At 39.9% G+C, this 11,575-nt stretch overlaps 3 annotated features.

Annotated features, from left to right (window-relative positions):
- Positions 4,165-4,733: an enhancer, noted in NCBI's record as "OCT4-NANOG-H3K27ac hESC enhancer chr7:54748033-54748601 (GRCh37/hg19 assembly coordinates)". NCBI's record gives its function as "activates a minimal SCP1, AML or CMV promoter by ChIP-STARR-seq in naive and primed H9 embryonic stem cells {active_cell/tissue: H9 hESC(naive and primed)}" and the evidence as "EXISTENCE:reporter gene assay evidence [ECO:0000049][PMID:30033119]".
- Positions 8,944-9,589: an enhancer, noted in NCBI's record as "NANOG-H3K27ac hESC enhancer chr7:54743177-54743822 (GRCh37/hg19 assembly coordinates)". NCBI's record gives its function as "activates a minimal SCP1, AML or CMV promoter by ChIP-STARR-seq in primed H9 embryonic stem cells {active_cell/tissue: H9 hESC(primed)}" and the evidence as "EXISTENCE:reporter gene assay evidence [ECO:0000049][PMID:30033119]".
- Positions 9,590-10,235: an enhancer, noted in NCBI's record as "NANOG-H3K27ac hESC enhancer chr7:54742531-54743176 (GRCh37/hg19 assembly coordinates)". NCBI's record gives its function as "activates a minimal SCP1, AML or CMV promoter by ChIP-STARR-seq in primed H9 embryonic stem cells {active_cell/tissue: H9 hESC(primed)}" and the evidence as "EXISTENCE:reporter gene assay evidence [ECO:0000049][PMID:30033119]".

The raw sequence follows: 11,575 nt of genomic DNA, 5'->3' as shown, positions 1-11,575 counted from the left end.
CTTTCTCCCTCGATGAGATCAACCTTTTTTGCTCCCACATATAAGTGAGAACATGTGATATTTGTCTTTCTGTGTCTGACTTATGTCACTTAACATAATGACCTCCAGTTCCATCTATGTTCATTTTTTATGGCTAAATAGTATTCCATGCTGTATATATACCTCATTTTAGGTTGATTCCATATGTTTGCTATTGTGAATAGTGCTATTGTGAATTGTGGGCACAGGTATATCTTTGGTATTCTGATGTCTTTTCGTTTGGATAAATACCCAATAGTGGAATTGCTTGATCATATGGTAGTTCTATTTTTAGGTTTTTTGAGAAACCTCCATACTATTTTCCATAGTGGCAGAACTCACTTATATTCCCACCAATGGCGTATGTGTCCCCTCTTCTCTGCAACCTTGCCAGCCTCTGTTATTTTATGTTTTGTTGTTGTCATTGTTGTTGTTTTATAATAGCCTTTCTGACTGATGTGAGAATGCATTTCTCTGATTATTAGTAATGTTGAATATTTTTTTCATATACCTGTTGGCCATTTGTATGTCTTCTTTTGCGAAATGTCTATTCATGTCCTTTGCCCACTTTTTAATGGGATTATTATTATATTTTACTATTGAGTTAAAAACATCAATTATTTTCTATAGAAAATACTAAAACTGAAATTTCTGGCTCAAAAACATATGCATACTGCCAAAATTGTTGATGCCCAGTATGACTGACCTCTAGAAATGTTGTACCTCTATACTAACTGGGGAGGCCATTTGTCCTTTAGGAGACTGATATACAAGAGAAGCTCCATCACATGTATCCTTCCTACTCACTCCTTGATCACACCAAAAGCCCATAAAACACTGTACCTTCTTCAAGGTGGATATGGTGATCAAAGTATTAGAAATAGGGCATATCTCTAACCTGCTGTGGGAAGAAAAGTGCTTTCATGGGAATCTTCTGTTGGCTCTGGATGCTGGTGAGATGACAGCAGTCTGGTTTAAGTAGATGGTTTCAGGAGGTATGAGAATATGCTGGGGTGACGGAGGGCAAGTCTTAGACTACAATGACAGGCATGGAAAGTAGACATGGCCCCCATTAGATGGTGGAGCCAGAGTGGATATCAGAATGGCCTGGGCCACAGAGATCTCTGGACCTCTACTTGTCATTCCATTCTTGATTAATATGAACTGCATTTGAATGATTCAAATGTAGTTTTGCTAGTTACTATATTATTAGCATGATGAGAATATCTAGTAACTCAGGCAACCATGAGCAGTGCTGATGCAGTTTTGTCTTAGCCAGAATGTTTTCTCCACCTGATGGAATGTGCTTGGCTCATCTTCCTCTTATGATAAAAAAAACTGTGAATAGTATACTACCTCTTTCTACTTACTTTGCCTATTTCTTCTTACATTTTACTAATCAAACATGGCTTGCTAAAATTATTAAATTTATAGATTACTTCTATTAACACAATATACAGGATGCTTCCAAAGAAATAATTTGCATTTTTTCCTTCAGTTTTCCTCTTTTATAGTTTAATTTTAGTCTGTAATTCATTTGGAAATAAATTTGGAGTAACCTTATTTTTTTCTAATTACTTAATAATGTAATTACCATTTATTCAATAATTCCTATTTTTTCCATTGACCTCAAATGCAACTCTGTCACAGTCTAAGTTATCTTGAATAACTTGGATAGATTTCTGTACTTTCTCCTTGGTTTCATTGACGTCCCTGCCCTTTTAATAATAGTACTATGCTGTTAAATGTATTGTGATTATGCATTATGATGTCTAACAATGAAAGTGGCTCTCAAGGTACTTCCTTCTGCATGTCGGGGCCGAGGGTGGATAATTTTTTCTACATGTTCTTCAAGATGACCCTTAGCATTGCGGTGTGTTACGAAAAGTGTCCTTTTGATATTTTGCATAGAGCTACTTGAAATTTAAAAATCAATTTTGAAAAGGTGATTTCTTTACATGTTTCATTCTCCTTTTGTTCCCCACCATTCCTGGTAGGAACAGAGTTTGCCTCTCAATTTATGTGATTTTTAAAAAGTATTTCATTTCATTTTTGTTTTCTTCACTTAAGTCCTGAATATTCTTTCCGAAGCTTATTTTTGCATACTTTATCACTTTATTTTAATATTTGATAATAATATTATTGAATGAAAATTGAGTACTTGCTCTGCACTAGGCAGATCACAAACCCCTCACCTACATTATTTTATTTGTTCTTCTGAAGCACCTTATAATGTGCGTATGATCATTCTCCTTCTTTTGCAGATAAGGAAACTGAAGCCTGAATTGGTGTCATAATTTGCTCAAGTTCACACAGTGTCTCCTCTTACTTACAACATCAGGGACTCTAAAATTTTAGAGAGCAAAAGAAGCATCTGGGGCTGGTTTAAAATGGTTAAATGGGAGCTTCCTGGGCCTGTGTTCCGAGATTTCTAGTGGGGAAGCCTTGCGTGGGGTCTACATCTTGGGAAACACTGCTCTGGGCTATGAAGTATTGAGTAGTGTCTTTTTCCATTCGGTTTTATTACTGTCTATTGTGATGGAAAATTAATAGACATACAATTGATGCCTGTGTATTTATTTTATATTTTGCCACCATGTAAATCATCACATTAGATACAAACATTTTCATGCCATCCTTCTGGAGTAGTGAGATAAATGATCATAGTCTCTGGCTTATTTATCAAAATCTACAAAATTTATGAATGAATCACCTGAATTATTGTAAAATTACTCTCTTTGATGGCATTTATGTTTTCATGGATGGAGCATTTTCCATCAACTAACTTCCAGAATAGCATTAATAGTAGCAATAGTGAGTGTAGGTATTCACATTGTCAAGTTATTCACTTTTGTTCCTTCTTAATGTTTACCATAGACAAAGGGTGGTAAAGATGTAAATTTTGATATGCTATAGTTATTTTCCTACATAGCAATTGAGATATTATCCATTTTTCTGAACATATTTAGCTTTTCCTAAATATTCTTATATTCTTATAATATTTTAAATATTCTTGAAATCAGATCTTTAAATTTGCTTGATTGCTTAACTTTATGGGCAGTGGTGTTCATAATTTGATAAAGTGATTCATAAAGTGCTCAAATAAAAGTTATAAAAATAGAATCATAATCTGAGAGATTTGTTTTAAAATGGTACCAAAGGTCTAGCTCTTGAGATTAACTTCTGCAGTTTCTCACTAAAGTACATGAACTCCCCACACAAAAATTAAGAGCCACAGATAACATAACTTGTTTTCAGATCTTGGGAAGAATCTCAATGCATAAAACGTGTTGAGCTGATTTCTATGGGCTTTATGTAAAACTGACGGACAGAAGCTTAGTCAGGGTGGAACTTTAAAACAGAATGCCACCTTCAATAAACAGCACTGTCTCAATTAAGAAAGACGACATAAAGAAGGGATGTAACTTGGGGTTATTGATGAACTATTTGGAGAAAAATAACTAGTTTGATTTATTTTTGACACTATATACTAAAATATATTTCAGATGGATTCAGGAGTTAAATGCAACTTTAAAAAGCCTTAAGGAACTTGAAGACAACTTTAGTAAGCATTTAGAGATACTGGAAGAAAGAAAAGACTTTTTAAACAAAAACGAAGAGGTCAAAGTCAAAAAAAGAAAGATTAATTGATCTGTCTATGTACATAAATGGCAAGCCAAAAATTTCAGTTAAGACTGAGAAATAACCATTGGATTGAACCAAATGAAGGTCACTGATGTCGTAGGGAAGACCAGAACCTGATTGGAGTGGATTTTGGAGGGAATGGGAGGAGAGAAATTGGAAACAACAAGCATATACTACAGACAGCTCTCTAGGGTGGGTTTGCTATAAACAGGAGCGGAGAAATCAGTCAGTAGGTCAGTAGGTGGAGGGCACAGTAACACCAAAAGAAAGGTTCCTTTCAATGGGAGAAATAACAAAATTTCTTCTCTCCAGAAGAGAGGGAAAACTTATTGATGGAGGGGTGGAGGAGCAGACACACACACACACACACACACACACACACACACACACACACACACACACAGAGAGACAGAGAGATACAGAGAGACAGAGAGAGAGAGAGAATGAGATCCAGTGAACAAGTTGAGATGCTGGCCTCCAAGCTTCTTCCATAGTAATAGGGAGAAAGTAATAGGGAGAAAGAGTGCCTGCGCACACAGATTCAGGGCGAGGGATTGTGCATAAGTGTGAGAAAGGGAGCTATGGGCATCCTCCCCTGATTACTTCTCCATCCTTGGTGGAATAGAAGTCAGGTGATCAGCTGAGAGGGAGGATAAGAAGAAGGTGTGGGAGGTAGGAGGAGAGAGAAAATAAAAATAGGCAACTAGGTGAGTGGTTTAAGGAAGTTCCCCATTAAGGCTAGTGGTACTGAATTCAAAGGAGACAAATCAGAATGATAATAGGCTTTTCCATCCACGCTCAACAGCCTGGATTCAAGCACAGAAAAGAGGTATCAAAGGTTCAAAGTAATGATGCAATTAAAATATTTATGCATCAACATGACCCCTCCCCAGCCTCCCAGGCTGCTTCCTCCCATTTTGTCCCATTCCCCATCACAAAGGCCCTGCCTCTGAGCTGTGCATGTTGCTCGGAGGCACAGGAAAGAGGGAGCTTCCTCTGGGGACACAGAAGGTGGTGGGTAGGGATTTGCACAAGTTAAAAATCTTGTCCCTGTCACAAATAAAATAATTTAAAAAAACCCCAAAGTGGCAGGAAACATTAAAAACAAATATGAAATATGGTAAACTTGTTACATATAAATTTTAAGGTGAACGGATCATCATTTGAAATTGATTACAAGCTGAATTAGCCTCTTGTAAAATCACCACTGCCAGAGCATAAAAACTGTTTTAGGTGAAAGTATTTAAGCAAATTTCAGTATGTAAGTTCAACTTGAGTCCACAACTGAGTTTATGAAATACTGCCACAAATTAATAGTATTTCAATAGCATATTGTTATATTTCTTATTGGCCCTGTAAAATTTCCCAACTCTGCCTCCATTCTGTGATTTTATAAAAAGTAAACTTTGCCAGGTGCTGTGGCTCACACCTGTAATCCCAGCACTTTGGGAGGCCGAGGAGGGCGGATCACGAGGCCAGGAGTTCAAGACAAGCCTGGCCAGTATAGTGAAACCCTGTCTCTACTAAAAATACAAAAATTAGCTGGGTGTGTTGGCACACGCCTGTAGTCTCAGCTACTTGGGAGGCTGAGGCAGGAGAATCGCTTGAACCTGGGAGGCGGAGGTTGCAGTGAGCCGAGACTGCGCCACTGCAATCCAGCCTGGGTGACAGAGCGAGAATCCATCTCAGAAAAAAAAAAACAAAAGTAAACTTGGTTTATTAAATATTCTGAATAATGCAACAAACCTAAACTGCTCTGGTAAGTATCACAATTAGTAAGCAAGGCTAACCCTTATACCAAATACAGGCACACCTTGTTTTATTGTGCTTTGCTTTATTGCATTTCATGGATTTATGTTTTTTACAAATTGGAGGTTTGTGGCAACCCTGAGTTGAGTAAGTCTATCTGTTACAGGAAAGGGGTCCTGATCCAGATCCCCAGAGATGGTTCTTGGATCTAGTGCAAGAAAGAATTCAGGGTGAATCCATAGAGTAAAGTGAAAGCAAGTTTATTACGGAAGTAAAGGAATAAAAGAATGGCTACTCCATAGACAGAGCCTCCCTGAGGACTGCCGATTGCCCTTTTTTATGTTTATTTCTTGATGATATGCTAAACAAGAGGTGGATTATTCATGCCTCCCCTTTTTAGACCATATAGGGTAACTTCCTGACTTTGCCTTGGCTTTTGTAAACTGTCATGGCACTGGTGAGAGTGTAGTACTGAGGACATCCAGAGGTCACTCTTGTGGCCATCTTGGTTTTGGTGGGTTTTAGCTGGCTTCTTCACTGCAACCTGTTTTATCAGCAAGTTCTTTATGACTTGTATTTTGTGATGACCTCCTATCTCATTCTGTGACTTAGGATGCTTTAAACATCTGGGAATGCAGCCCAGTAGGTGTCAGCCTTGTTTTATCCAGCTCTTATTCAAGATGGAGTTGCTCTGGTTCACACGCTTCTAACATATCGGCACCATGTGTGAACAGCATATGCTCGCTTCATGCCTCTGTCTCTCTCCTCAGGGCTCCCTATTCCCTGAGACACAACAATATGGAAATTAGGTCAATTAATAACCTTATAAAGGCCTCTAAATGTTCAAATAAAAGGAAGAGTTGCACGTCTGTCATTTTAGATCAAAAGCTAAAAATGATTAAGGTTAGTAAAGATGGCATGTTGAAAACCAAGATAAGCTAAAAGCTAGACATCTAGCTCTAAATAGTTAGCCAAGTTGTGAATGCAAAGGAAAACTTGAAGGAAATTAGAAGTGCTACTCCAGTGAACACATGAATGATAAGAAGGCAAAACAGCCTTATTGGTGATATGGAGAAAGGTTGAGTGGTCTGGATAGAAGATCAAGCCAGCCACAACATCCCTTTAAGCCAGAGCCTAATCCAGAGCAAGGCCCCAAATTCTCTTTAATTCTACAAAGCCTGAGAAAGGAGAGGAAGCAGAAGAAGCAGAAGAAGAAAAGTTTGAATCTAGCAGAGGTTGGTTCATGAGGTTGAAGGAAAGAAGCCCTCGGCAAACATAAACGTGCAAGGTGGAGCAACAAGTGCTGATGGAGAAGCTGCAGCAAGTTCTCCAGAAGATCTAGCTACAATCATTAATGAAGGTGGCTACACTAAACAATAGATTTTCCACATAGGTAAAAAAGCCTTATGCTGGACAAAGATGCCTCATGCGACTTTCATAGAAGAAGTGAATGATTAGCTTTAAAGCTTCAAAGTACCGGCTGACACAATGGTGTGTCACACAAATTTTTTGGTTTCTCAGTACATATAAAAGTTATGCTTACAGTATAATGTAGTCTATTAAGTGTGTGGTAGCATTATGTCTAAAAACCAATGTATATACCTTAATTAAAAAATACTTTGGGCCAGGCACAGTGGCTCATGCCTATAATCCCAGCACTTTGGGAGGCCAAGGCGGGTGGATCACCTGAGGCCAGGAGTTTGAGACCAGCCTGGCCAACATGGCGAGACCCCATCTTTCCAAAAAATGCAAAAATTATCTGGACGCAGTAGTGCGTGCCTCTCATCCCAGATACTTGGGAGGCTGAGGCAGGAGAATTGCTTGAACCCAGGAGGTGGAGGTTGCAGTGAGCTGAGATTGTGCCACTGTACTCCAGCCTGGGTGACAGAGTGAGACTCCGTCACAAAACAAAACAAAACAAAACAAAACAAACAAAACAAAACAAAAAAACAACTTTGGCCAGATGTGGTGGCTCATGCCTGTAATCCCAGCACTTTCAGAGGCCAAAGTTGGCAAATCCCTTGAGTCCAGGAGTTTGAGACCTGCCTGGGCAACATGGTGAGACCCCATCTCTACAAAAAGTACAAAAATTAGCCAGGCATGGTGGCACATGCCCGTAAGTACCAGCTACCTGGGAGGCTGAGGCAGGAGGATCGTTTGAGCCCTGGATGTGGAGGTTGCAGTGAACCAAGATTACACCATTGCACTCCAGCTTGGGGGACAGAATGAGACATTTTCTTTAAAGAAAAAAAACAAAAACACTTTATTGCTAAAATGTGGTAACAATTACCTGAGCCTTCAGCGAGTCATAATCTTTTTGATGGTGGACAGTCTTGACTCTACGTTCAAGGCTGCTGACTGAGCAGGGTGGTGGTTGTTGGACGTTGGGGTGGCTGTGGCAATTTCTTAAGATAAGACATCAATAAAGTTTGCTGTATAGATTGACTCTTCTTTTCATGAAAAATTTCTCTGTAGCACGTGAAGCTGTTTGATAGCATTTTATCCACCGTAGAACTTCTTTTGAATTTGGAGTCAATCCTCTCAAACCCTGCTACTGTTTTATCAATGCAGTGTATGTCATATTCTAAATCCTTTGTTGTCATTTCAACAGTGTTCATGGTTATCTTCACCAGGAATAGTTTCCATCGGAAGAAGCCCCTTTCTTTGCTCATCCATAAGAAGCAGTTCAAGTTTCATCATGAGATTGCAGCAATTCAGTCACATTCTCAGGCTCCACTCCTGATTCTAGTTCTCTTGCTGTTCCTTCCACCTCTGCAGTTACTTCCTCCACTGAAGCCTTGAAACCCTCAAAGTCATCCATCAGGTTTGGAATCAACTTCTTCCAAACTCCTGTTAATGTGGATATTTTGACTTCCTCCCCTGAATCAAAAATGTTTTTAATGGCGTGTAGAATAAGAAATTCTTTCCAGAATGTTTTCAACTTACTTTGCCCAGATTCATTAGAGGAATCACTTCTATGACAGCTATACCTTTACAAAATGTACTTATTAAGTAAGACTTGAAAGTAAAAATTAGTCCTTGATCCATGGACTGCAAAGTAGATGCTATATTAGCAGGCATGAAAACAACATCAGTCTCCATGCACATCTCCATCAGAACTCTTGGGTGACCAGGTGGATTGTCAATGAGCAGTAATATTTTGAAAGATTTTTTTTTTCTAAGCCGTAGATCTCAATAGTGGGCTTAAAATATTTAGTAAACCATGCTGTAAAGAGATGCACTGCCATCATTCTTTGTTGTTCCATTTCTAGAGCACAGGCAGAGAAGACTTAACATAATTCTTAAGGGTCCTAGGATTTTCAAAATGGTAAACAAGCATTGGCTTCAACTTAAGTCACCAACTACATTAGCCCTTAACAAGAGGGGCAGCCTGTACTTTGAAGCTTTAAAGCTAAGCATTTTATACAGTGGTCTGGAGCTGAACTTGCAACATCTCTGAGATATGCCTGTCTTCTCCCAAATGTATAGTGGCGAAAGGGCAATAGTGCTGTATTTCAAAACAATCCTCTGGGGAAAAGAAAGAGAGATCAGATTGTTAATGTGTCTGTATAGAAAGTAGACATAAGAGACTCCATTTTAATCTGTAACCCTACCCCCAACCCTGTGTTCCCTGAGACATGTGCTGTGTCAACTCAGGGTTAAATGGATTAAGGGCTGTGCAAGATGTGCTTTGTTAAACAGATGCTTGAAGGCAGCATGCTCATTAAGAGTCATCACCACTCTCTAATCTCAAGTACCCAGGGACACAAACACTGCGGAAGGCTGCAGGGACCTCTGCCTAGGAAAGCCAGGTATTGTCCAAGGTTTCTCCCCATGTGACAGTCTGAAATATGGCCTCTTGGGAAGGGAAAGACCTGACAGTCCCCCAGCCCGACACCCATAAAGGGTCTGTGCTGAGGAGGATTAGTAAAAGAGGAAAGAACGCCTCTTTGCGGTTGAGACAAGAGGAAGGCATCTGTCTCCTGCCTGTCCCTGGGCAATGGAATGTCTCGGTGTAAAACCCGATTGTATATTCCATCTACTGAGATAGGGGAAAACCGCCTTAGGGCTGGAGGTGGCACATTCGGGCAGCAATACTGCTCTTTAAGGCATTGAGATGTTTATGTGTATACATATCTAAAGCACAGCACTTAATTCTTTACCTTGTTTATGATGCAGAGACCTTTGTTCACGTGTTTACCTGCTGACCTTCTCTCCACTATTATCCTATGATCCTGCCACATCCGCCTCTCCGAGAAACACCCAATAATGATCAATAAATACTAAGGGAACTCAGAGGCCAATAAATACAAAGGGATCCTCCGTATGCTGAACGCCGGTCCCCTGGGCCCCCTTTTTTCTTTCTATATACTTTGTGTCTGTGTCTCTTTCTTTTCCAAGTCTCTCGTTCCACCTAACGAGAAACACCCACAGGTGTGGAGGGGCAACCCACCCCTTCACAATCCAAGGAGGGGTCTCTGCGCACATGGTCATTCAGAGCAGCCAGGCCCTGGGTAATCCTCAAAGCCTGCAAGTGAAGTCACCTGGGTGTGGACACCCAACCTCCAGAGAGGGGAAAGGTTATAGAGGGTTGTATGGAGCATGTTTCACAGGCCAGCCTGGAAGAGACTCTTTCCTCTTTGTCCCCATGGCCCCCTTTACCTGCAAGGGAGGCTGGGAACTGTAGTCTAGCTATTCTCAAGAAGTAGAAGAAAAGAGTTTAAGTGACAGTTTGCAGTAGTCTCTGCCATAATGTTATTGCACAGGATGAGACAAACCTGGCTTAAGTGTTTTGATTTTAACTCAAGATTTTGAGTTAGCTCCCTGATACACTTGCCAAAAATGCTCTCTGACAGCTGCATTTTTTTTTTTGATTGTATCCGTTGAGATAGTTTTTGCCTATAAATCATAAGGTCTATGAATGTCATCAGCCTTTGGATCTCCTCAGCCACAACTCTCTCCTCCAATAGGCTATTGGGTCAGAATAGCTGGATGGTTTTGCAGAGAGACGACCTTAATTTTAAAAAAATCAAGAAGAAGCCCATGATTTAACAATTGCAGTAGGTGGAGTGAATTTTAACGTTCTAGTGTTTGTTTTAGTTACTCATTTTGTTCCCAGATCAGTGGGGAGACCAGAACCTCAGTCTTGGGCAGTAAATTGACAATTGCTTGTAAAGAAATCATTGCTACTTCTTCAATCTGCATGTAATTTGATTTTATGCTTTCAGTTCTCTGGTGCAGCTTGCTAAAGATGTGCATGCATGTAATTCAAAGATCTCAAAACCTCCAAATTATGTACAAAGCCAAAATCTCATAGGCATAAATCTGGAGCAACAAACAAGCAAACGAATTTCTCTTTGTGTCCAACTCTAATATGTTAAGCAAAACCTGTGTAATTCATCAAATGCAGACAGAGAGAAAACATAAAAATCCTTGATGTAATTTCACACAGGTGTACGGAGCTCCTCCTACACTTGCGGGACACGGCCCAGGGATGTTATTATTATTATTTTTTCCAGCTTCTCTTTACAAAAAAAGTTGTTTTCCAATATTTCCTGCACTCAAACATATTTTATCATTGCCAGCTGTCTTGCCAGGACCAAAAAAAGAGAAGGTGCCCTTCAAGTGTGCCTGAATTTCGTTAGTCTATTGAACGCTGCTGTACTAATTCACAGTGAGAACGATACACCCATGAGGGTACACAGAAGGGAAGGAGGCAATGCTCATATGTCAGAAACCTCAGTGCCTCTTCAAAAAAATTGTGAAATGAAACAAAATAACAGTTTTACATTTATGGGTTTTTTTATTCCAGTCTTTTATGAAACTGGATCATTCTATAGATAGAGTTTTGCATCCTGATTTTTTATTTTTTACCGTGTAATTCTACAAGTAGATCTTTCCAGTCTGAAGGGTTGCTAAGAGGAAGCACCCATGCTGGTGCTAATGAGCTAGCTTCACAAGTCAAGGGTACAGGGCCACAACTGTCTCTGCAGCGGCCACCCCCCAGGAAGCAGTGCTTGGGGGAGCCCTGAGGGTGATACATTGAGTAGGGGCAGCAAAACTGCCCCTCCATCTTCTTTGGGGCCCAGCTGGGCCTGAGAATCAAATTGACATAAGATAGGTTAATAGACAACATTCTTTTGGCACAAGTTTTAGTGTGGAA

This window comes from Homo sapiens, chromosome 7, assembly GCF_000001405.40.
Source record: "Homo sapiens chromosome 7, GRCh38.p14 Primary Assembly".
In the NCBI taxonomy this organism is placed as follows: Eukaryota; Metazoa; Chordata; class Mammalia; order Primates; family Hominidae; genus Homo; species Homo sapiens.
The sequence above is the reverse complement of the archived record's forward strand: the minus strand, read 5'-3'. Positions and strand labels throughout refer to the sequence as shown.